Genomic DNA, 26629 nt, shown 5'->3' with positions numbered 1-26629 from the left:
TATGTTCATGAAGGATATTGATCTGCGGTTTTCTTGTAATGCCTTTGTGTGGTTTTGGTATCACTATAATAGCTTCACCAATTAAGTTGGAAAGCATTCCTTATGCTTCCACTTTTTTGGAAGAGTTTCTGCATTCTTAGGTTTTCTTCCCTAAATGTTTGGTAGAATATACCACTGAAGCCATTTAAGCCACAGTTTGCTTTGTAGGAAGGTTTCTAATTACAAATCTGATTTTAAAAATAAATATAGGGATATACATTTTTATTTTTCTTAAGTGAACTTTAGTGGTTTGTGTCTTCAAAGAGAGTTTGTTCATTTTATTTTATTTCCCAGATTTATTGGCATAAATGGGTTCATGATTTTCCTTTCAATATCTGTAGAATCTGTCATGTCTCTCATTCCCAATCTGGGTAATTTATGTGCTTCTTTGTAACTTGATAATCCTTGGCTAGAGGTTTATCAGTTGTATTGTTCTTAAGGCTTTTGGTTTCACTGATTTTCTTCACAGTTCATTCTGTTTATTTCATTGACTTCCATTTTAATCTTTATTATATACTCTCTTCTGCTCATTTTGCATTTCTCTTCGTTAGTTTTTTAATGTGGAAACTGATACTCTTATTTTTGGATATTTTTTCTTTTGTTTAATGGGTTTACCTAGGGTAAACCTAGCCTTCAGTTCTGACAATTTTCTCCTGTATTTTCTTCTGAACATTTTGTACTTTTATATTTTATATTTTAGTCTGTGATCCATTTTGAGTGAATTTGTGTTTAAAGTATGGGATTAAGTTGATGTTCACATCTTTTGTCTATGGACGTTCAATTGCTCCAGCATTATTTGCTGAAAAGCCTTATCTGCCTTCATTTATTTGCTTTTACTTGTTTTTCAAAAATCAGTTGGTTATATTTCTTTGCACGTTTCTGGGTTATCTATTCTGTTCTTTAGACCTATGTTGTTTATCCCTCCCCAGTACCACAGTGTCTTGTATCCTTAGCTATATAATAACCCATAACATCAGACAGGGTGATTCCCCCCAGCAGTCTTTAAAATGTGTCCACATTGACATCGACAGACACATTTGTTAGCGCCCTAAGAGATCCCTTCACTGTCAAGGCTTTGGCAACCTCTTCTCATGTGTCCTTGAGTCTCTAGACCACCTCTGATGGCCAGAAGTTTCCCAAGGGCTTCTGATACAAGAAACTGCCCTTCTCAAAATCATGCTATGCCTCCATTAAAACAAACTGACTAGCTACATACTAGGCTCTTCTAGAAATAGAGACTTTCACAGACCTAATACTTAGCTGCCCATTTGTTTTGAGTCAAGAAACAGCAACCTACAAACTTGGCATGGCTACCGAGGCCTCCTTAATACAGGATAGAGCCAAATCTGGGCCCTCTGGCGTATTCCATCTACAGGAGAGGTGGTCTCCTTTGTCCTCAGTCTCTTGCCACATGCCATGGTACTGGAAGAAGTCACCCCCTCTCCTAGACTGGTTGGCTACCTGGGGAGACCCTTGGGATTAACTAAGTAAACAGCAATAGCAGTTTGCAGACTGTATGAACGACACTGCCAACCATCATAAATATTGATTTTTTGTGTGTTGTTTTTTAAATTAGTGGAATCTTGCTACTTTGCATCTTAGACAGGATGTCCCCAGCAGTCAACACAATTGGCCAAACTTCAGGCAGTCATCTTAGCACTGGATGACCTGGTCAACAAATGGCCTCATCTTCACATTTATTGCAAACTATTGGGCCATTGCCTAAGAGTTGTGCACTTCAGAGTAAAAACTCTAGCAATCTCCTACCTTACAGATACCTAAAATATAAACGTAAATCACACATGTCTCTAGATATACTATGGCCACAATACAAGGCCAAATAACTCCTTATTTCCTTCAGTGTTAGATATTACTGATAATAACAAAGGCATACATTTCCCTTCCCAGAATACACAATTCTGGGTTCTCGGTAAAGCTATCCAATGGAACTCTCATGTCCCTGATAGGTGCCAGATAGCCAATTTATTCTATTTTACTTGTTATTTTTTTGTGGAGACAGAGTCTCTTTACATTGCCCAGGCTGATCTCGAGCTCCTGGGCTCAAGTGAACCTCCCACCTCAGCCTCCCGACCTCCCATTTGAACTGTGCCCAGCTCAGATGCCCAGTTTAATTGAGGTCTCAATTTTTCTCTTTTTCTTTGAGACAGAGTCTAGCTCTGTCACCAGGCTGAAGTGCAGTGGCATGATCTTGGCTCACTGCAAGCTCCACCTCCCAGGTTTATGCCTTTCTCCTGTCTCAGCCTCCTGAGTAGCTGGGACTACAGGTGCCCGCCACCACACCCAGCTATTTTTTTTTGTATTTTTAGTGGAGATGGGGGTTTCACCGTGTTAGCCAGGATGGTCTTGATCTCCTGACCTCGTGATCCGCCTGCCTCAGCCTCCCAAAGTGCTGGGATTACAGGCTTCAGCCACCAAGCCTGGCTTTTTTTTTTTTTTTTTAATAAGAATGTAGGTTCTATTATCACCATTTTAAAACAATGCTGTAAGGTGATAAGTGTAGTGCCTAATATCTAACTGGCTGCAAGGCAGTGGAATAACAATGATGATAGTTAACGTGAGTGCCATGGCTAAAGGCTTTCATTACATTGTTAACTGGTTTTAAAAAATAATGAATTATTTGAAGTTCAGCAGTGGTTTAGGAGGTCCAAGGTTTTTTATTCACTTGTTCATACAATCACATTAGAATAAATGCATCATATAAAAGTTCATGCTGTCAGTGCTGTAACCATTAAGTAATAACGTTTCCCACTTTTTCTGAATGGTCCACCAGTATAAATATTGGTATTACAAACCTATAAATGACAAAGGAATATTCTTATGTTTTCTGAGTTATATTATGAATTATAAGATGAGAATAGACCTGCCAATATTCTTCACATTTGAAAGTTTCCTACCAGCATAAATTCCCCGATGTTCAACAATGTTTGAGCCACACACGAAGCACTTCCCACACTCCTCAGACTCTTAGGGTATAACACTCATATGTTTTCTCAGATGCACTTTAAGGGCTGAACTGTATCTAAAGGTCTTCCCACATTTTTTGCATTTAAAGGGTTTCTCACCAGTGTGTACCCGCTGATGTTCAGTAAGGAATGAATTAAGTCTAAAGGCCTTCCCGCATTCCTTACATTCAAAAGGTTTCTCACCAGTGTGAACACTCTGATGTCCAATAAGTTGTCCATAAACAGTAAAGGCTTTCCCACATTTGTTACATTCATAGGGTTTCTCCCCAGTATGAATTCTTTGATGCTGAACAAGGTATGAGCCAGAACTGAAGGCCTTGCCACACTCCTTACACTCATAGGGCTTCTTACCAGTATGGATTCTGCTATGTTGTACAAGGTACGAGGCTCGACTAAAAGTCTTTCCACATTCCTTACATTCATAGGGCTTTACATCAGTATGAATTTTCCGATGCTGTGTGAGATGTACGTGCACTCTGAAGGCCTTGCCACATTCCTTACACTCATAGGGTTTCTCTCCAGTATGAACCCTTTGATGTACGGTAAGCTGATGGCGACTAATAAAGGCTTTGCCACATTCCTTACATTCATAGGGTTTCTCCCCAGTATGGATCCTCTGATGCTGAACAAGGTATGAGCCAGTACTAAAGGCCTTGCCACACTCCTTACATTCATAGGGCTTCTCGCCAGTGTGAAGTCTTCCATGTTGAACAAGATATGAGGCACGACTGAAGGTTCTCCCGCATTCCTTGCATCCGTAGGGCTTTATCTCTGCATGAATTCGCTGATGTGCATGAAGGAAGGAACTAAGTCTAAAGGCCTTTCCACATTCCTTACATTCAAAAGGTTTCTCACCAGTATGAATACTCTGATGTCGAGTAAGCTGTCCATACACAGTGAAGGACTTCCCACACTCCTTACATTCATAGGGTTTCTCGCCAGTATGAATTCTCTGATGCTTAGCAAGGGGTGAGCTAGTGCTAAAGGCCTTCCCACATTCTTTGCATTCGTAAGGTTTTTCACTGGTATGAATTCGCTGATGTTGAACCAGGTATGAAAAGGTACTGAAGGCCTTCCCACACTCCTCACACCCAAAGGGTTTTTCACCAGTGTGAGTACTCTGATGCCGGGTAAGCTTTCCATATACTAGAAAAGCTTTCCCACATTCCCCGCACTCATATGGTTTCTTCCCAGTATGAATACTCTTATGTACTGTAAGTTGATAGCTACCACTAATAGTCTTTCCACATTGCTTACATTTGAGTGGCTTCTCACCAGTGTGAATTCTCCCATGCTTAACAAAGGCTGAGCCACTGATAAAGGCCTTCCCACATTTTTCATATTTATAGGGTTTCTCACCAACATGCAATCTCTGATGTATGGTGAGTTGATGTCCATTACTAAAGTTCTTCCCACATTCTTTACATCTGTTGGGTTTTTCACTACTATGTATTCTTTCATGTTGAACAGGCTTTGAGTCTTGACAAAGGGTCTTTCCATATTCCTGACATTCACGTGGTTTCTGTCTACTTATTTTCTGATGTAGAGCAAAAGATGGACAGTTTTCAGAGGTGGGCATTTCTTTACAGCCGATTGTATCATCTTCCAACTGCAAATCTGAAAGAAAATTTTAAAAATATCTTATTTTTCTATTTGAAAAAAAATTCTAGGGAAGAAAAGAGAAAAACTGAAAATAACACCAACTAGAAATAAATAGCTCAGTAATATTAAAACACCATTATGAAATTCAAAAAAAAAAAAAGGAATGCAGAGATTAACAAGTGTTTATGTAAAATAGTAAGGTTGGTGATTAGTGAAACAGTTTTCATTTAGGTGTGGATAATAATCTTTGAAGAGCCTGTTAAAAAATGGATGTTCAAGCAGCATCCCGCCCCTCTGAATCAGACATAGGGGAAGTTCCTGGACATCAATACTGTCAACCTTTCTAACAAATGTTTCTGATGCAGATGAAATTTTTATAATCCATATTTTATTGTTCCTTCTAGGGGTTTCTTGTGGCGCTTACATTAAAATCCATGTATCTTTCCACAGATAATATTGTCCCTGCTCACCTCTCAGACCTCATATCAAGACACAACTCCCTCTGTCCCATACTGACCTAATTTCCCCCTTTTAGCACCTTGACGTTCTTACAAATTTTCTCACCTTTTGGTTCCATGTGCAGGTGGCATCATCGCCTAAAAATCTTCTGGCATGTTTTGTTTGTAGACTGGAGCTTTCTTATCCTATCCATGTTTAAAATAAAATGTCACTTTATCAGGAATATGGTAAACTGCTAACTTTGTCTAAGGACGTCCATGTCTTTACTTTCTAGCACTTCATTCTTTGGTTTCCTACTGGTTTTCTTTTTCTTTTTTTCTTTTCTTTTTTTTTTTGGATAGGATCTCACTCTTGCCCCGGCTGGAGTGCAGTGGCACAACCACAGCTCAATGCAGCCTCAACCTCCCAGGCTCAGGTGATTCCCTCCCACCGCAGCCTCCTGGATAGCTGGGACTACAGGTGTGTGCCACCATGTCCAGCTAATTTTTTTGTAATTTTTATAGAGATGGGGTCTTGCCACATTGCCCAGGCTGGTCTCCAATTCCTAGGCTCAAGTCGTCCTCCCACTTCACCCTCCCAAAGTGCTGGGATTACAGGTGTGAGCCAATGAGTCCGGCCTTCTATACAAAAGAAATAATCGTAATAAAATATCTCCATACAAAGAATGATATTTTATAATTCCAATGAGAATTATCATTTGTTGTTAAAACCATGACAAGATATACTGCTAAACTGAATAAACGTGTACTTCTTGAGAATAAACTAAGATCACACAGATTATTGTTTAGTCACAAGGAGAAACATACTCAATAATGTGGGGTTGGACCATTATCACTGTAATCTAGTAAACAGTCTTTTAATGAGGAGCACGGCCAGACATTAGATATCTGCTGATAAGATACACATTGCCTCCTTTGATATATTGAGACAAAACTGTTTACCACCTTTTAAAATATTGCCATATTATTTGATAAGCCCATAGGACGAGATCACTGGGGTGGCCACTAAAGCACTGGGTTTGTACACAAAAACCAACTGCAAAACTGGATTAGATATGTTAACTCACTGAACTCAATACCTGCCTTTAGGATGGTTCCTGTTATCTCCTAGGATCACTGTGGCCCATTCATCCCCCTTGTCAGAAAAAGAGACCTTTAGATAACTTAATTCAAAGAGGAGAGAAACTGGACCTGAGTTTGTGTCAAAAAACTTCAGTCAGGCTGGGTGCAGTGGCTCACGCCTGTAATCCCAGCACTTTGGGAAACCAGTGGGCAGATCATGAAGTCAGGAGTTCAAGACCAGCCTGGCCAACATGGCAAAACCCTGTCTCTACTAAAAATACAAAAATTAGCTGGGCATGGTGGCGGGCACTTGTAATCCCAGCTACTTGGGAGGCTGAGGCAGGAGAATCACTTGAACCTGGGAGGCAGAGGCTGCAGTAAGCCAAGATCGCGCCATTGCACTCCAGCCTGGGCAACAGAGTGAGACTCCATCTCAAAACAAAACAAAACAAAACTTCAGTCACCACTGAAACAGAACTTTGGACTGTTTCCTTCTACCTCCAAGCCTTTTAATGTCACGCTACACAAGAGGACCCTCAAAATGGGGAGAACCATATTAGCATTGTAATCCCGATAACAGATCTGGACAATGTCACAAAGACACAAATTCATGTCCATGAAACTGGATAGGCAACTGGTTCAAAATACATTGTTTAGAAAAAGTACCGTGCCTTTCAAGCAAGAAATATTATTCTTATGAGAAGAATGTTGTACTCACATCTCTAAAGACCTCTGAAATCTTTAAAAACTCTAAAATGATTTAGGAAAGACATAAGAAATCAGGAAATTAGATAATTGGGATAATTCTTCCATATCTGGTTCTGTGGGCTCTTTGGATTAGGGATGGGATCTGTTCATGTGGTTGCATTTGTGTACAAGTCTTTGATCCTGGCCTAGAACTGAACTATAAATTCTGATCGTAACTATTCTCTTAGGATTTGTCTATACTCTAGAGTTCAAATGCCTAGAGTCATAAATGCTATTGTGCAACCATTTTCTTGTCAAATAATCCATATGATATTCTATTTTTTTTTTTTTTTTTTTTTTTTTGAGACGGAGTCTCACTCTGTTGCCCAGGCAGGAGTGCTGTGGTACGATCACAGCTCACTGCAACCTCTGCCTCTTGGGTTCAAGTGATTCTCCTGCCTCAGCCTCCTGAGTAGCTGGGATTACAGATGTGCACCACCATACCCAGCTAATTTTTGTATTTTTAGTAAAGACAGGGTTTCACCATGTTGGCCAGGCTGGTGTCGAACTCCTCACCTCAGGTGATCTGCCTGTCTCGACCTCCCAAGGTGCTGGGATTACAGGTGTGTGCCACCGTGCCCAGCTCCAAATGATATTTGAAATAAAAGAACAGAAAAAAAACTTTTGGAGGTTGAAATGACATAGTTGTGTACATTTGGATAATCATGGTCCCAAGAAGATAACGGCCTATCTTCAGATAAGGCTGAAGCATGACCAAAAAGGAGACAGGGGACACTGAGAACAGAAATCAACGAAATCCCCTATCTCTGTGTTAAAGAAAACTGAGACCAGCATACCTCCCCGAACCTGTCTTAACCTTCAGTATTCTATCAGGGCCCATGGGGTCAATTTTTAGTTTTTGAGTTTCTTTTTCAAGCAATTCTAACTATTTGTAAGAATTAGTATTTCATGACATTTAGTCTTTCTTAAAGGCCTTCAAAAGAACAAAGAGAAAACTTACTTATTTTCAAAATATACTAAATTTCATTCAATTTTACAATTAGGGCTCTACTACACCTTTTTATAAAACTACAATCTACTACGAGACAGTAATCTTATTTTTTCCAGTAAGAATCATGTGTAAGAATAAATTTCCTGGGAACATTTTTCCGTCTCATCATCCTAAGTTATTTCATCATTATTTGTCAATTATGCCCAAGCATGTGAAAAAAGAAAGACTAAATAGGAAAGTGGATGAATGATGGCACTGCCTAGAAAGATGATGCAGTAGTGAAATAACGCTGTGGCATCCTTCCGTATCCTTACTGTGTTGCTCGAAAACCTGCACACCTTTGAAAGCTTGAAAAAAGTCTGGACACATCACCTGCATGTCTTTTTTTAAAAAAATTAGCTTTTAGGCTGGGCATGGTGGCTTACACCTGTAATCCCAGCCCTTTGGGAAGCCAAGGAGGGTAGATCAATTGAGGTCAGGAATTTGAGACCAGCCTGGCCAACATGGTGAAACCCCATCTCTACTAAAGATACAGAAGTTAGGCCGGGCACGGTGGCTCACGCCTGTAATCCTAGCACTTTGGGAGGCCGAAGCGGGTGGATCACCAAGTCAGGAGTTCAAGACCAGCCTGGCCAACATGGTGAAACCCCATCTCTACTAAAAATACAAAATTATCCAGTGTGGTGGTGCATGCCTGTAAGCCCAGCTACTCCGGAGGCTAAGGCAGGAGAATTGCTTGAACCTGGGAGGCGGAGGTTGCAGCGAGCTGAGATTGCGCCACTGCACTCCAGCCTAGGCGACAGAGCAAGACTCCATCTGAAAGAAAAGAGGATAGGGGAGGGAGGGGAGCGGAGGGAGGGGAGGGAGGGGAGGGGAGGGGAGGGGAGGGGAGGGGAGACAAGACACTGATAGGTAAGTTGCATGTGGACTGAGTGGAACTCTAAGTACCTGATGGCAGCTCCATACTCTGAGCTTCCCTAAATGTAGAATCTCTTTTAAATGGCACGTCTTCTGTGGGGACCCTGGAAACCATGCCCGTGGAATTGCTAAGGGTACTGAGTTCTGTGAAATGCTTGTATCTTCTTTAAGTCACGGCAGCTCGCCAACTCACCTGGTGTGTGTCTCGTCTCTCTGCACCTTACTTTTGGAGGGCTATGCGAGTGTATCCTGCGTGAACTACTGTAAGGATGCAGCCTGACAAAACAGGTGAGGCTGCCCCGCTGGCAAGCTGGGGTTCCTGCTATGGCATTTTCCAAACAGATAGAGCCAAGACAACCACAGGCAGTCTTAGTCTGAATGCGCAGTTGAGCCTAAGATGAACCTCCGGTGGGCACTGCAGGTGAAATGGGTTTTCGTGTGTTTGACTATCAAGAATCATATCCTTAATTCTTAGTACCTTCTGGAGTATTTAGGAATAAAGTCTTGCAATTGCACAACTTAAATGGTACGGCAAAAAATTTTTATATATATAGATATAGAGCAAAGTGGTAAATTATTAAGAACTAGTGAATCTAGGTGAAGATTATTATGGAGTTTTTAACTCAGTTGGCAAAATGCAAAAAAAGTTCCCAAATCCAGACTTTTAAGAATGGTATAATACTTCTAGATATTAAGAGGTATTATAAAAAAATAAAAAAGAAAATCCTCAAAGTAATATAAGGAGACTGATAGGATACAAGGTGTATTGGTTTGAACAGTGTCCCCCAAACTCCTGTCCACCCGATACTTCAGAATGTGACCTTATTTTTATTTTTTTATTATTATTTTTTAAAATCTCTTCAGAACCAAATGCCTCAAGAGGACTGCTGTGCTCATTCTTGGCACTGCCTTGCCTCCCATTCTGTTTTTACCAGACCAGTCAGGCTTTCACCCCTAGGTGCCCCTGAAAATTTCCTCCTTTAGCAAGGCTAAATATTGTGGTCAGACTGGGCGCCATGGCTCACACCTGTAATCCCAGCACTTTGGGAGGCCGAGGTGGGTGGATCACCTGAAGTCAGAAGTTTGAGACCAACCTGGACAACATGATGAAACCCCACCTCTACTAAAAATACAAAAATTAGCCAGGCATGGTGGCAGGCGCCTGTAGTCCCAGCTACTCAAGAGGCTGAGGCAGAATCATTTGTATTTTGGAGGCAGAGGATGCAGTGAGCCGAGATTGCACCACTGCACTCTAGCCTGGGTGACAGAGTGGGACTCCGTCTTGAAAAAATATATATATATTGTGGTCAATTCTCATCACTGCTTAGCTTAGTTCACTTTTCAGGTGATCATTCTTCTATTTTTTTTTTTTATTTTTAAGAGATGGGGTCTTGCTCTGTCACCCAGGCTGGAGCGCAGACTCACTGCAGCCTCGAACTCCTAGGTTCAAGCAGTTTTCCTGCATCAGCCTCATGAGTAGCTAGGACTACAGGGGCATGACTCTATGCCTGGCTAATTTTTAAACTTTTTGTAGAGATGGGGGGTCCTGCTATGTTGCCCAGGCTGGTCTCGAACTCCTGGCTTGAAGTGATTCCCCCTGCCTTGTCTTCCCAAAGTGTTGGGATTATAGGAATAAGCCACTGTGTCTGGCCTACTCTTCTATCTTGAAACACTTTCTTCATTTGTCTTTGGTGGCACCACTTTCTGGTTTTAATTCTACCTTAAAAGAGGCAGTCTCTTTTGCAGCCTCCTCTAGAAGACCTCTAAATGTTAAGAGTAGTCACTACTGGCCGGGTGCAGTAGCTCACGCCTGTAATCCCTGCATTTTGGGAGGCCGAGGCAGGTGGATCACCCAAGGTCAGGAGTTCGAAACCGACCTGGCCAACATGATGAAACCCCATCTCTACTAAAAATATAAAAAATTAGTCAGGCATGGTGGCAGGTGCCTATAATCCCAGCTACTCAGGAGGCTGAGGCAGGAGAATCACTTTAACCAGGGAGGCAGAGGTTGCAGTGAGCTGAGATCGCACCACTGCACTCCAGCCTGGGCAACAAGAGTGAAACTCCGTCTCAAACAAAAACAGAAACAAAAACAAAGACAAAAAAATAGTCACTACCTGCACTGACTCTCAAGGGACCTCAGCCAGTGCCATGGCTTTAAATAGCAGCCAAATGCCAATGAATCCCAATTTTATTTTATTTTTTGAGACAGGGGTTTTCTCTGTTGCCCAGGCTAGAGTGCAGTGGTGCGATCATAGCTCACTGCAGCCTTGACTTCCTGGGCTCAAGCCATCCTCCTGCCTCAGTCTCCCAAGTAGCTGGGACTGCAGGTATGTACCACCATGCATAGCTAATTTGTACATTTTATATAGAGATGGGATATCCCTATGTTGCCCAAGCTGGTCTCAAATTCCTGGGCTCAAGTGATCCTCCCAACTTGGCCTCCCAAAGTGTTGGGATTCCAGGCATGAGCCACCAAGCACAGCTGCATCCCAAGTTCTCATGTGTAAGCCTAAACTCTCCCTGAGCTCCAGACTTGCATATTCCACAGCCCACTTGGCATCTTTGCTTGGATGAGCAGGAGTCATCTCCAACTTAACATATGGAAAGCAGACACCTTTAGATCTGCCCTGCAACTTGCCCTTCCTTCTTTACCATCTCACGTGACCGTACCACCATTCGGCTGCTCAAGTCCAAACCTGTTGATCCTTCTTGATTTCCCTCTTTGCCTCCATATCCATTTACAATCCACCAACATGTTGTGGGTTTTACATTAAAATGTATGATGAACACTCTGCCTTCTCACCGCTGTCCACCATTAACATCCTAATCAAAACCACTCAGACCCCCAGCTTGCACTGCTCTTGCCCCCATTCAGACTACCCACTACAAATACCTGGAGTAATTATCTAAAAACATAAACTAGGATGATGGTTGATAGGGTTTGGCTGTGTCCCCACCCAAATCTCATCTTGAATTGTAGCTCCCATAATTCCCACGTGTTGTGGGAGGGACTTGGTGGGAGATAATTGAATCATGGGGGCGGTTTCCCCCATACTGTTCTCACGGTAGTGAATAAGTCTCATGAGATCTGTTGGCTTTCTAAGGGGAAACCCCTGTCACTTGGCCCTCATTCTCTCTTGTCTGCTGCCATGTAAGACGTGCCTTTTACCTTCCGCCATGATTGTGAGGCCTCCTCAGCCACATGGAACTGTGAGTCCATTAAACCTCTTTTTCTTTATAAATTACCCAGTCTTGGGTATGTTTTATCAGCAGCGTGAAAATGGACTACCACAATGGTGGAAGTGGTAGCATTGTTTTTGAATTTAAACAAATACCCCCATAAAAACAGAGCAAACAGGATAGCAAAACTGTAAAAAAAAAAAAAAAAAAAAAAAAACTATAGACAACATATACAACAAAACTACATGAAGAGGTACCCTCAAAATGGCAAAATTCTAGGAGACAAAGACAAAATACTACAGCTAAGACTTGTGTGGTCTAGGCATCTGTGCAGGAAAAGGCAGAGGGGGACAATGTGGGGTGTCTGACAGACCTGAGAACCTCAAAATAACCAGGTGTCCATAAGCATAGCAGGCTGACTTGAGAAGAGCAGGTAAGACTGGGAGTGAGAATATGGGATCCCTGGCAAAGTTTGAAGTGGCTAGAGGTGATTAATCAGGGAGGGAGAAAGGTAACTGTGATTAGGTACAGGGCATGAAAGCCTTAAGGGAAGGTAGAAGAGTTTTCTCTCTTCATTTGGAGAATCTGGGTTGAAGGGTATATGAAAATTCTTAGTACAACTTTCCAACTTTTTTGTAAGCCTGACGTTATTTTATAAAAATTGTTTTTAAAAATTTTTTTTTTTTTTAGACGGAGTCTCGCTCTGTCGCCCAGGCTGGAGTGCAGTGGCACAATCTTGGCTCACTGCAAGCTCCGCCTCCTGGGTTCACGCCATTCTCCTGCCTCAGCCTCCCGAGTAGCTGGGACCACAGGCGCCCGCCACCACGCCTGGCCAATTTTTTGTATTTTTTTAGTAGAGACGGGGTTTTACCATGTTAGCCAGGATGGTCTCGATCTCCTGACCTCCTGATCCACCCACCTCAGCCTCCCAAAGTACTGGGATTACAGGCGTGAGCCACCGCGCCCGGCCTGTTTTTTAAATTTTTTATTTTACTTTAAGTTCTGGGATATGTGTGTAGAATGTGCAGGTCTGTTACATAGGTATACATGTGCCACGGTTGTTTGCTGCACCCATCAATCCGTCATCTAGGTTTTAAGCCCTGTGTTCATTATGTATTTGTCCTAATGCTCGCCCTCTTGTTGTCCCCCAGCCCCCGTAAAAATGTTTTATCTTTTGACCAGAGTGATGGTTACAAAGGTATCTGCCTCATAATAACTCATCAAGCTGTACATTTTAATATGGTTTTTCTGGTATCTGTTTCCTATTTATTAGAATTTTCTAAAATTCAAAAATTGGAAAAATGTAAATTAGGTCATAGTTTCTAGTTACATTAGAAAATAATCCAAATTCCTGGCCAGGCACGATGGCTCATACCTGTAATCTCAGTACTTTGGGAGGCCAAGGCAGGAGGATCACTTGAGCCCAGGAGTTCAAGACCAGCCTGAGCCACATAGTGAGACACTGTCTCTACTGAAGATTAAAAAAATTAGCCAGGTGTGGTGGTGTGTGCCTGTAGTCCCAGCTACTCAGGAGGCTGAGGCAGGAAAATGGCTTGAGCCCAGGAGTTCGAGGCTGCAGTGAGCTATGATTGCACCACTGTATGCCAGCCTAGGTGACAAAAGAAGACTGTCTCACTCAAAAACAAAACAAAACAAACAAATTCAAATTCCTGCTAGCACTCTAGCTTTTTTCTTCTTACTCCTCCCATTAATTCTGCCTGAGCCTACTTACTGCTCCTGAAGCACACAAAACTCATTCCCACCCAAAGCATCCACATCTGCTATTCCCTCTGCTTGGCATGTCTTACATAATTACAAGGCCTGAACCCTCATTTTTCCTGTCTCTGTTCAACTATTACTGTCTAAGAATATATGAATAAATCCAAATGTAAAAGAGGAGGTGAAAGAAGTGAAATTCAATACACAGATGGAATAATGCACTGGGAAAGTGACTTAAGTCCGTAATAAAATGAGAGGGAAACAAGAGGTGAGTGAGTATTAAAATAAGTAAAGATGAAGTTCCTTTTGTGAGGCTGGTGAGATATTTATTTCTTACCCAAGTCTCAGCCTTTTTCCACCCAGGCCCTAGGGCTTTGAAGGGAAACCTCCAAACATTGCAGAGATGCACTTCCTCCCTGACAGCTGGGCTGTTTCCAGCAACAATGGCCTCCCTACCTGCCATGCTCTTACTCACCTGTGCACCATCTTCTTCCATCTTTCCTCACTGTCACTTCAGGCTCTTTCCATTGTTCCAATAAGGCGATCACATGTGGTTTAGAACGGGAATGTCCTGCTTATGAGATAAGAATGTAGAAAAGAAATAAAATATGAGTTCAAAAATACTTCCAGCTTTGGTTAAATTTGCCATAAATGAAAGGTCAAACGATATTGACCTTTATATCTCAGACACGAGAAGGGCAAGGGGATTCATAATTCCAGACAGGTAGAGAACGGTTTTATTTATGTAGAGACAGAGTCTCACTCTGTCGCCAGGCTGCAGTGCAGTGTGCGATCTCAGCTCACTGCAACCTCCGCTTCCCGGGTTCAAGCAATTCTCCCACCTCAGCCTCCCGAGTAGCTGGGACTATAGGCATGTGCCACCACGCCCAGCTAATTTTTGTATTTTTAGTAGAGACGGATGTCACCATGTTGGCCAGGATGGTCTCGATATCTTGACCTCGTGATCCGCCCACCTTGGCCTCCCAAAGTGCTGGGATTACAGGCATGAACCACCACACCCAGCCGAAAGGTTTTATTTTAAATGAAATCTATCTATCTATCTAACTATTATAAATATAGATAAGTGTATACTCATTTATTCTTTGTGTCTTGATAAAAAACCAGGCCCGGTGGCTCATGCTTGTAATCCCAGCACTTTTGGAGGCCAGGTGGGCAGATTACTTGAGGTCAGGAGTTCGAGACCAGCCTGGTCAACATGGTGAAACCCTGTTTCTATCAAAAATACAAAAATTAGCTGGGTGTGGTGGTGTACGCTTATAATCCCAGCTACTAGGGAGGCTGAGGCAGGAGAATCACTTGAACCTGGGAGGTGGAGGTTGCGCTGAGCTGAGATCATTACACTGCACTCCAGCCTGGGCAACAGAGTGAGACTATGTCTCAAAAAAAAAAAAAAAAAGAAAGTATGACATTGTGATTGAGAACGCGGATTGTGGAACCTAAGTGCCTGGGTTCAAGTTTCTGCTACCGTCACCTATGGGCTGTGTGATCTTGCGTAACTCACTTAAACACACTGTGCTTTATTTAGCATTCTCACCTAAAATGGTTAGCACCTATAGAGTGCTTGTAAGGTTAAAAATCAGTTAATACAAATGTATATTAATATAAAGAGCAGAGAACAGTGAAACAGCACACAGTAAGCACGCTGTGTGTTAATAACATTATTATTGTTATTTTGCTAAGACAAAAACAAAGTCTGCTTAGACATCTATATCTATAGGATATAGATTTAATTTGCATTTACTCTTAAATGCAAAGTTCAGAGATGATGAATTTTAACCACAAAATCAGATTATTTTATATGAAATAAAATGAGGTAACTTCAGTTTTAAATGATTTGTTTATCCAATCCGCCGGCATATAAGTTGTATAGGTCTTCAGATAGAACAAATCAAGACCCTTTGTCTAGCTGTTCTGCCTGCAAGGTGGGTCAGATTTTCACAGAGCATTTAGAGCAATTTAGAGCAAAAACATAATAGAAAACCTGGCCTCTTTTGTCAATGTTTTGCAATAGACAATCCAGAATTCTAATCCTGCCACTGGATCATTTCCAACCTAACAAAGCTCAAATCATTTCTCTGGCAACAAGAAGAAATCGTGTTCAGTTCTTAAGCTAGCCCTAAAATCTGCAAAGGAGAAAGTATAACAGGGAGCAGATTCTCAATTATTTGAGAGAAGTACACTTACCCATTGACACCAAGTTCCTGTAGTTCTCCAACATCACATCTCTGTACAAGCCCCTCTGGGAAGAGTCCAGACTCTCCCACTCCTGCTGGGAGAAGGCTATGGCCACATCCTCAAATGTCACTGATCCGTGATACTGCAAACCCACATATTTCTGGTAAAATCAAAGAAAATGCTTTCAAGGTGAAAGGAGAGGGAATAAAACGTTTCAGTGTAGTAAGGGAGCAATAACATAACAATCACATAGGCTGGAAGCTTATGATGTGGCAAGTGGATGAGCATGGTATCTGCATGTTCTGGAAGAATCCTGCTGCTATGGACAAAATGTCCTATATATTGTAGGATTATCATAATACTCCAGATTTGTGGTGAAATGGATAAAAGAATCCTAGTTTCCCTGTTAAGTAAAAGAGTACATACAAAGATATGGCCTGCTAGGTATCCAATGAAACAAATTCTCAAAAACAATTAGTCTCTATATTACTTTCCCTTTAAGAAGAAAATAGCTATGATTCCTTTCTCCAACTGTAGAATAAAATCTGTCTTAGAAAATAGCCATGACACAAATTTGTTGAATAACTCCTCAAGCTTCAAGTTCATTATGTCAGATCATAAGTGTTTTTCCTTATATTAATAAATACTTTTTTCCAAAGTGACATAAAAGTTATCTTGTGGATCTGTATTAAAGGTTAGTAACTTTGCGAGGCTGAGGTGGGTGGATCACACGAGGTCAGGAGTTCGAGACCAGCCTGGCCTATGCGGTGAAACTCATCTCTACTAAAAATACAAAAATTAGCTGGGCGTTGTGGCATGTGCCTGTAATCCCAGCTACTTGGGAAGCTGAGGCAGCAGAATCACTTGAATCCAGGAGGTGGAGGTTGCAGTGAGTCAAAATTGTGCCACTGTACTCTAGCCTGGGTGACAGAGCGAGACTCAGTCTCAAAAAAAAAAAAAAAAGAAAAAAAGAAAAAAAAAAGTAATGATTTTATACTTATAAACGAAGACTGTAACAAATGCCTCAGTTTTCCCCAGTTCTGGTAATCTGTTCATCTACTACTGATAACAATATGCTGATAGTGTCATACAAGATCCTTCACTTAATACTTTGGCTGCTGTTTTTTTAAATTTTTTTTTGAGACACAGTCTCACTGTGTTGCCCAGTCTGTAGTGCAGTGCTATGACCATAGCTCACTGCAATCTTGAACTCCTGGGCTCCAAGTGTCCTTCTGTCTGAGGGTCCCAAGTAGTTAGGACTACAGGCATGTGCCCCCATGCCTGGCTAATTAAAAAAAATTTTTTTTGGTAGAGACAGGGTCTTGCCATGCTGCCCAGGCTGGTCTTGAACTCCTGGGCTCAAGTGATCCTCCCACCTGGGGCTCCCAAGGTCCTGGGTTTACAGGTGTGAGCCACTGCACCTGGCCATTTGGCTGTTCTTGAGTTAGTGGATTAGGGTGAAAATGACTCAGAACCAAATGCATGTTGTCCAAGTCTGGCAGGTCCCATTCCATAACAAAATTGACCTTAGTATCACTCTCAGGCATCCCAAGAAGAACCATGATATCAATGTTTCACATCATAATCACATCCCCACTCAATCTTAAAAGCCTCATAGAGCATGTTATCTCATCATATTGAGACCAATCAATACAAAATTCCATCTTATCAGCTCTGTGGAAAACTTCAAATCTTCTGATGTGTGGCCAGATGAAGCCAACAGATCAAACTCATCAAACCACAGATGGATGTAGGAAGCTCAAATACTTCTGCCACGGGACTTCAATCCTCCACTGCTCTATCACAGCCTTTCAGCTAAGACTTACTATTTACCTGCTTCGTAACTTGCTCAATGAATTCATGAACACCGATTAGAAATGAGGACCTCGTAAGGAGGAAACGATACTTTGACATCATTCCGCCAAACAGAAGGAATCAAGTAGGCAATTAGATGGTACATTCTGATGAAGAATGCTTCAGGTCAATTAAGGAAAATAGCCACGTAATATAAAAATCCCCATATTTCAAGAAGAAACACCAACTTACATGGGCCATGCTTTGAGAATTGTAAGAACTGATCAGTCTTCACTGGGGTTCCTCTATCTGAGAAGTTCAAAAGCTAGAAAATCCAGAGAGGAGAAAAGGAGGCTTTAGTGTTCTCAATGACATACATTAATAAACCTTCCTGTCCCTTCATTTCAGCTTCCAAACTGTGCTACAAACACCCTCAAACAAAATTTGGAGAACAGTGGAATTCAAGCCCCAGTTAACTAAGCTGTACAGAGTTGATCGCAGAGGTGTGGCACTTCTTAAGGAAGGCAGAATCAGACACAAGCTTTCCCACCAGGCCCCCATTTTGGGAATGTTGATCTAGGTCTCAAATTGGGTTGCACAGTCTTCTCTTGAACAGATTCTCCTCACTCCATTCCCACGTTCTAAGCCTAAGAAAGAGTCCATATCACCCAATCCAGAGCTTCTTTAATGGTGACAGTATAAATCTGAGGTTGGTCAAGACACGGGAGGTAGAGAACATAGGAGAAAATGATCAGGCAGTTACTAATATGGCTCAGTTTTCTCATCACTAAAATAGTAATAGGAGTATCAGCTCCAACATGTGGTTGTCCTGAAGAATAAGAAAACCCACCCCAAAAGTTAATAGAATACTTGCTTAACATGAGTTGGCTCTTTTGTTTTGTTTTGTTTTGTTTTATTTTTTGAGACGGAGTCTCGCCCTGTCACCCAGGCTGGAGTGAGTGCAGTGGCGCCATCTTGGCTCACGGCAACCTACGCCACCCAGATTCAAGTGATTCTCCTGCCTCTGCCTCCCTCCCGAGTAGCTAGGACTACAGGCGCATAGTCACGCCCAGCTAAGTTTTGTATTTTTAGTAGAGACGGAATTTCACCATGTTGGCCAGGATGGTCTCCATCTCCTGACTTCGTGATCCGCCCGCCTCAGCCTCCCAAAGTGCTGGGATTACAGGCGTGAGCCACCGCGCGCAGCCGAGTTAGCTCTTACTATGGTAGCTCCCTCTTATCCACAGGGGGGAGATACACTCTAAGATCCTCAGTAGATGTCTGACGGAACCCCATATATACTATGTTTTTTCTTATACATACACACCTATGATTAAGTTTAATTTATAAATTAGGCACCATAAGAGATTTTTATTTTTCTGTTTGTTTGTTTGTTTGAGACAGGGTCTCACTCTGTTGCCCAGGCTGGAGTGCAGTGGTGTGATCTTGGCTCACTGCAACCTCCACCTCCTGGGAGCCTCCCAAGTAGCTGGGATTACAGGTGCCCACCACCACGCCTGGCTAATTTTTGTATTTTTACTAGAGACAGGGTTTCACCATGTTGGCCAGGCTGGTCTCGAACTCCTGACCTCAATTGATCCACCCATCTCAGTATCCCAAAGTGCTGGGATTACAGGCGTGAGCCACCGCACCCGGCCACCATAATTGAGTAATAGCAATAACTAATAATAAAATAGAACAACTATAATAGCATACTGTAATAAAAGTTATGTGAACATGGCCCCTCTCTCTCAAAATATCTTATTGTACCAAAATCACCTATTTTCAGATCATGGTTGACTGAGGGTAACAAAGTGAAGAAAGTGAAACTGCCGATTAAGGGGGCACTACTGCATTGGAGTTATTACGTAAACATTATACATCCTTTATTTCATTTTAATTAAACACTTGTTTCCACTTAATTTAATTTATGTATCTATCTATCTATCTATCTATATATATATATATATATATATATATATATATATTTTTTTTTTTTTAGAGAAGGGATCTCGCTCTGTCGCCCAGGCTGGATTGCGGTGGTGCCATCTCCACTCACTGCAACCTCCGCCGCCTCCCAGCTTCAAGCACTTCTCCCACCTCCGCCTCTCAAGTAGCTGTGACTACAAGCGCACGCCACCATGCCTGGCTAATTTTTATATTTTTAGTAGAGACGGGGTTTCACCATGTTGCCATGTTGGTGGTCTCGAACTCCTGAGCTCAGGCAATCCACCCGCCTCAGCTTCCCAAAGTGCTGGGATTACAGGCATGAGCCATGGCACCCGACCTGTTTCCACTTTTTACTTAAAACGTAAGTTTCTCTGGCATGCTTTCTTTTAATTCTAACTAAAAAATTAAGAGCAACTCTTCTTTAAAAACAAACAAATAAAAAACCAACAGAAAAGATTCTCTGACATTTCAATTTCCTCTGTCCCCTAGCAGCTAGAGAGAGAGAGCTACTGCTGTGGGATAATGCAAAATTGAAGAACCTTAAGAAAAAGCTGGGTCCTATTTCTGTGCAATATGGAGATTGATGGAAATGTTTACAGCTGTCATCTTGCTCTCCTTTCTTACATAATTTTGTCATTAGTTAAGTAATCTGCACAACAGATCCTTTGAAGTCCTTTTCCCTGCACTGATAATTTTCAGATGACATTGCTCTCATCTTTAAAAGGTGTAAATACTTTATACAGTTTTTTCCAAACAAGAAGAGGCTTCCTGGCAATCCCATTTCTTCCCGCTGCATGCAAAAGGTATCATAACTATCGTTTCCTTTTTAAACTGAGAGTTGAAGAGTCTTTTGCTCCTTTACATAAATCAATTACAGTGATTTTATCCAAAATAGTAACAAATATTAATAGCTCAGGTTCGCATGGAGGCCATGCACCCAGTCTTCGCGGATGCACACCGGCCCCGGCCGACGCACCCTCCCTGCCCTGCCGCTCCCGCACTCGCCGGCCCGGGATCCTCGCCCGGTCCACCCAACGCTCACGCATGTCTCAGTCCGGGTTCCGCGCCGACACAGGTCTGCAGAGCTCCCGGTGCTGTGTTCGTTTGCAGAAATTCAAGTTGCCCGGCGGGGCTGCTCCAACCTCGGAGCTGGGCGCTGACTTCTCCCTCGATGAACTCCAAAGCTCGCTGCCGGGTCAACGACCACAATGAACTGGCGAGGAGGCAGAGATTGAGGTCGTTCCAGTGGCCGCTGAGAAATGTAGTTTCAGGCTACATTGGCCGGATAGCTGCAGCCTCTGGGAAATGCAGTCCTGAGCCGTCACACCGCCGAGCATGCCCGGCGCAGTCCACAAGGCCGCCCACCGGCGCCCGGAGACTTCTGGGCGCTCCCGTCCGGCTGAGAATGCGCAGGCGCAGGCGCTCGAGTTGCTGGGAGCCATAGACCTCGAAGCTGGGGCGTCTGACACCTGAGGCCCGAAGTAGGTGGCCAGCTTCTTAGAGGGCCAACCCAGGGCATTAACACACCAGGTCAGAAAAAGCAAAAACAAAAACAAACAAAAAATGATAATCTATACCAAAATATGTTATTACTTTAACACAAAAATATGAAAACTAGGTGTTTGAAATTATCTTTCCGTACTGTTTGCTTTTCGCTACAGAAATGCTATTATTTAACAGAATATTAATAGGATTAATAGTGGCAATTAGACTAATCACGTGTGAGAAAAATATATTTCTGTCCTCTGATACAGGAATTTTAAGTTTCTATTAAATATTTAAATTTTGTGGGTTCTATCTAAGATGCTAAATGTAAGACCTTTTAAAAGGAGAATGTAAATAAGGCTAATCAAACAGATATTAACTATATGTAATAGGCATTTATCTTTCTGTCCCATCATACGTTTAGGAGATATTTACTCTTTCTGGTTCCTTTTCCAGTAACACCTCTCTGTATTAGCTGCCTGTAGCCTTTATGGCATTCTTCTTTTGGTTTATGTAATGCTAAAACTGAATACAGGCAAACGTGAAATTCACCTTGACTGTCAGCTCCGCTTTTTGTTTGTTTTGTTTTTGTTTTGTTTTGAGACAGGGTCTCCCTCTGTCGCTCAGACTGGAATGCAGTGGCGCTATCTCGGCTTACTGTAACCTCTGCCTCCCAGGTTCAAGTGATTCTCCCACCTCGGCCTCCAGAGTAGCTGAGACTACAGGGGCGCGCCACTACACCTGGCTAATTTTTGTATATTTTTTGTAGAAATGGGGTTTTGCCATCTTGCCCAGGCTAGTCTCGAACTCCTGGGCTCAAGCGATCCACCCGCCTCAGCCTCCCAAAGTGCTGGGATGACAGGGTGAGCCACCGCGGCCAGCCGAGCTCTGTTCTTATTAAGCCCACATTACAGTGATTCCTGGAGTCAGTCCAGGGTGATGACATTGATAAGGAGGTGGGGAAGGGGAGTGCTGGGGAGGGAAGGGCGGGGTCCCTTTAAATGATATGGAAGGGGGAAAGGGAGGTGCTGGGTACAGGAGGGTGTGGTCCCTGGCTAGGGCTCCACCCCTGGCCCTGTGCCAACTGACCTAGGTGAGGGCAGGCATTTTTGTTTTCCTGCCCAAATGTTGCGTTTCCCAAGACCACCCTGGCCTGCCACGCCCCCATCCTGTTCCCGCCCCCATCCTGTCCCTATAAATACTCTGAGACCCTAGCAAGCAGACACACAAGCCGCTGGACATCCAGAGGAACATGTTGGCGGAAGAAGACATGACAGACGCTGGCACGCGGGCAGGCCACCCACCAGAAGGACGCGGAGTTTGGCTGGGGCAGTCCAAGGAGAGCCGGTGCTGCGGAGCAGCCCGATTCCAGGGGAAAACCATTTCCCTTCTGGCTCCCCCAACTGTTGAGAGCTACTTCCACTCAAAACCCTGCAGTCATCCTCCAAGCCCATGTGTGATCTGATTCTTCTGGTACACCAAGACAGGAACCCCGGGATATGAAAGCCCTCTGTCCTTGCGATAACGCAGGGATCTAATTGAATTGACTAACATAAGCCGCCTGCGGACAGCTAAAGAGCATCCTGTAACACGCCCACTGGGGCTTCAGCTATAAACATTCACCCCTAGACACTGCCATGGGGTCAGAGCCCCACAGCCCGCCCGTCTGTATACTCCCCTGGAGGTTTGAGCAGCGGGACACTGAAGAAGCGAGCCACACCCCCATCGCACGCCCTGCCAGGGGGACAAGGGAACTTTTCTCTTATCAACATCAACCTAAGTAGCCTCGCATCAAAAGCATTTGACTGTCAATAGTTAGGATTTTCCCTACCAGCAGTAGCAAGTTTTTAGCCTTATTGGAATTAGTTTCCAGCTCTGCAAAAATGTTCATCTGCTTTGTAACTCCAGGCTTTTTTGGTAGAGCAGCTGTTTGTTGACCAGTCGCTTTGCCTCTGTAAGTTCACCATATAGGCTATTCATGTCTAAAGTGTTCATTTTCAAACCCTCTGAAACTCATTGGGTATCTATTACAATGTCTGAAGACAAATATTTCATTAACAAATAAGAAGGTGATAGACCTGGAGTGAGAATCCACCCAATTCATGTCAATCGGAGACAAATTTGCAATATCCTGTGATTCCTGAACTGGCTGTGGTCACTGATCACTTCTGTCCTGGAGGAACTAGAGACATTCAAGACAAATAAGGACTCATCTAGTCCCCTGATTAAAGGACTTTTCATAGAGGCTGCATTAAGGGCCAAATTATGTACAATGTGCTCTCTGAGATGGGGATGTGTAAATAGCCGTCAAAATGTCATCTGGGCAGAAATTTGTTTGGGAGGATAAATTTATGTTCAGGGGTGAGGGGTGAATACAATAGAAATTTGTATTTTGCAGAGGGAAATGTGGGTTCCATGGTGGGTAGAAATAAAATAGATTAGTAGAATACTTAGAATGTCAAAGAAATTTTTAAATCATAGGGTTTTTTTTTTGAGAAAATTTTTGAAATGATTTTGAAATGATTTATTCAAAAAGTGCCCCTCAAAAGTGATCACTCCATAGATGACAGCTAAGGATCGCAATCTTACTGCTATGCCCTTGTGTTTTGAGTGAAGACTTGTGTGACTATAGTGAGGGTCTAGGTGTTTAATCGTCAGAGGTAAATTGGAGATTTCAGATGAGGCTGTCTCATGGAAGAGGGAGGAAGGATACTCACAAACCCTACAGCTGGAATCTGAGCATCCAGTGGAAAATGACAGTCCCTGATCCCTCAGGAAACTTTCTCTGGCCACTGTCAGTGATGTTCTAATCTAGGAGAGCAGAACTTTCCCCCTTATAATGTTTCTCACTGCATTTCCTGAAATATATTTCGTCTAAGTTCCATACGTTTATCTGAAAAGAATAACCACTTACCAAATTGTGTTTCCAACTAGGATAGTGGCCGCAGTTGTATTATCTTGTGCATTTGTCAAGAGAGGTCATCCGAACGCTGAGATAAAGGCTTGGGATTCCATTGTCTCATCTCTTTCTGGGAGTGATTTTCCTCTCATCTGGAAGTGCAGAGACAGAGTCTTCATAGGGAACTGAGATTACCTCCAAAAAACATTTGTGAAGTGAGCAATTCCTAGAAGGCTGTTAATGTTGATTAATGAAATTATACAAAAAGAATCATAAGATAGCTGGAGAAGAAAATTATCTGTGATGCCTGGAAAAGATACGTCCCAGTGGGAGGTAAGTACAGAATCCTGAGTTCTGAGATGTGAGGAATTCAGTTGAGGTAATGGTTCTACTATAATTGTGGCTACCATTAAATTTTTGTTTCTTCAAATTATGATTTATTTCTCTTCCTGATAACATTGAACAATCATAAATGTGGAGGGAAAGGAATCATTGAGGGTTGATTTAGAGAGAGTAAACAGGTGTAAAGCCATGGTTCCTGTGTGTTTTAACAAATACTAACTGAGCACCCGCCCTGTTGCAGATGCATTTCTAGATGTGTGAACAAAGAAATTTATCTACCTTAATTTGAATTGAGAGAAGCAGACAATAAATAATAAAGGAAATGTTATAAGTTACATAGTGACTTATAAGGTGTTATAAGTTATGTAACCTATGTTACATATATGTAACTTATGCTATAAGTTATGTTATAAGTTATGTTATATACAATATAACATAACAAGTTATGTTATATATGTTATGTTATAACTTATGTTGACAGTCCTCAGAAGGTCTCCCTCTCCCTCTCCCGTCTCCCTCTCCCTCTCTTTCCACGGTCTCCCTCTGATGCCGAGCCGAAGCTGGACTGTACTGCTGCCATCTCGGCTCACTGCAACCTCCCTGCCTGATTCTCCTGCCTCAGCCTGCCGAGTGCCTGCGATTGCAGGTGCGTGCCGCCATGCCTGACTGGTTTTCGTATTTTTTTGGTGGAGACGGGGTTTCGCTGTGTTGGCTGGGCTGGTCTCCAGCTCCTAACCGCGAGTGATCCGCCAGCCTCGGCCTCCCGAGGTGCCGGGATTGCAGACGGAGTCTCGTTCACTCAGTGCTCAATGGTGCCCAGGCTGGAGTGCAGTGGCGTGATCTCGGCTCGCTACAACCTCCACCTCCCAGCCACCTGCCTTGGCCTCCCAAAGTGCCGAGATTGCAGCCTCTGCCCGGCCGCCACCCCGTCTGGGAAGTGAGGAGCGTCTCTGCCTGGCCGCCCATCGTCTGGGATGTGAGGAGCCCCTCTGCCCGGCCGCCCATCATCTGGGATGTGAGGAGCCCCTCTGCCCGGCTGCCCAGTCTGGAAAGTGAGGAGCGTCTCTGCCCGGCCGCCATCCCATCTAGGAAGTGAGGAGCGCCTCTTCCCGGCCGCCATCCCATCTAGGAAGTGAGGAGTGTCTCTGCCCGGCTGCCCATCGTCTGAGATGTGGGGAGCGCCTCTGCCCTGCCGCCCCGTCCGGGATGTGAGGAGCGTCTCTGCCCGGCCGCCCCGTCTGAGAAGTGAGGAGACCCTCTGCCTGGCAACCGCCCCGTCTGAAAAGTGAGGAGCCCCTCCGCCCGGCAGCCGCCCCGTCTGAGAAGTGAGGAGCCCCTCCGCCCGGCAGCCACCCCGTCTGGGAAGTGAGGAGCGTCTCCGCCTGGCAGCCACCCCGTCCGGGAGGGAGGTGGGGGGGGTCAGTCCCCCGCCCGGCCAGCCGCCCCGTCCGGGAGGGAGGTGGGGGGGTCAGCCCCCTGCCCGGCCAGCCGCCCCATCCGGGAGGTGAGGGGCGCCTCTGCCCGGCCGCCCCTACTGGGAAGTAAGGAGCTCCTCTGCCCGGCCACCACCCCGTCTGGGAGGTGTACCCAACAGCTCACTGAGAACGGGCCATGATGACAATGGCGGTTTTGTGGAATAGAGAGAGGGGAAAGGTGGGGAAAAGATTGAGAAATCGGATGGTTGCCGTGTCTGTGTAGAAAGACGTAGATATGGGAGACTTTTCATTTTGTTCTGTACTAAGAGAAATTCTTCTGCCTTGGGATCCTGTTGATCTGTGACCTTACCCCCAACCCTGTGCTCTCTGAAACATGTGCTGTGTCCACTCAGGGTTGAATGGATTAAGGGCAGTGCAAGATGTGCTTTGTTAAACAGATGCTTGAAGGCAGCATGCTTGTTAAGAGTCATCACCACTCCCTAATCTCAAGTACCCAGGGACACAAACACTGCGGAAGGCCGCAGGGTCCTCTGCCTAGGAAAACCAGAGACCTTTGTTCACTTGTTTGTCTGCTGACCTTCCCTCCACTATTGTCCTGTGACCCTGCCAAATCCCCCTCTATGAGAAACAAGCAAGAATGATCAATTAAAAAAAAAAAAAAAAAAAAACTTATGTTATAAGTTACGTAGTGACTTATAAGGTGAAAAGTGCAATAGGAAAGGAAACAGGAGGAGCAGAACCCAGTGATGAGAAGCCTGTGGAGTAGGAGGGACTCCAGTAGGGAATGGAGGGGGTAGGGTTGCTCTCATAGGGAAATGATACTTAAGCAAATATTTAAAGGAGGCGAGGGAATAAGTGATTTG

The 26629-nt window shown here is 43.6% G+C and overlaps 1 protein-coding gene and 1 long non-coding RNA gene across 11 annotated transcripts; one reads left to right on the top strand and one right to left on the bottom strand.

Moving 5' to 3' along the window:
- Nucleotides 1-2694: 2694 nt before the first annotated feature.
- ZNF30 (zinc finger protein 30) lies at nucleotides 2695-24022 on the bottom strand. 10 transcript variants are annotated; one of them, NR_024018.2, is made up of 6 exons: nucleotides 20647-20960; nucleotides 17907-17979; nucleotides 15870-16020; nucleotides 14140-14235; nucleotides 5190-5269; nucleotides 2695-4640 (listed from the first exon to the last, which is right to left on the bottom strand). NR_024018.2 is itself a non-coding variant. In XM_017027424.2 (5 exons), exons 2-5 carry the CDS (start codon nucleotides 17913-17915, stop codon nucleotides 3025-3027), a joined length of 1875 nt encoding a protein of 624 aa, XP_016882913.1. In that variant the 5' UTR covers nucleotides 17916-17979; nucleotides 24004-24022; the 3' UTR covers nucleotides 2695-3024. The 10 variants fall into 10 exon arrangements, 9 of the variants coding, with proteins under 9 accessions (XP_016882913.1, XP_011525745.1, XP_016882915.1 ...); XM_017027424.2 differs by lacking the exons at nucleotides 5190-5269; nucleotides 20647-20960 and adding an exon at nucleotides 24004-24022 and having other exon boundaries at nucleotides 14140-14238; XM_011527443.3 differs by lacking the exon at nucleotides 5190-5269 and having other exon boundaries at nucleotides 14140-14238; nucleotides 20144-20960.
- ZNF30-AS1 (ZNF30 antisense RNA 1) lies at nucleotides 21037-24848 on the top strand. Its single transcript, NR_110749.1, has 3 exons — nucleotides 21037-21134; nucleotides 24029-24321; nucleotides 24812-24848. It is a non-coding gene; the product is annotated as a ZNF30 antisense RNA 1 (long non-coding RNA).
- The last annotated feature ends 1781 nt before the right edge of the window (nucleotides 24849-26629 follow it).

This window comes from Homo sapiens, chromosome 19, assembly GCF_000001405.40.
Source record: "Homo sapiens chromosome 19, GRCh38.p14 Primary Assembly".
Lineage (NCBI taxonomy): Eukaryota > Metazoa > Chordata > Mammalia > Primates > Hominidae > Homo > Homo sapiens.
The sequence above is the reverse complement of the archived record's forward strand: the minus strand, read 5'-3'. Positions and strand labels throughout refer to the sequence as shown.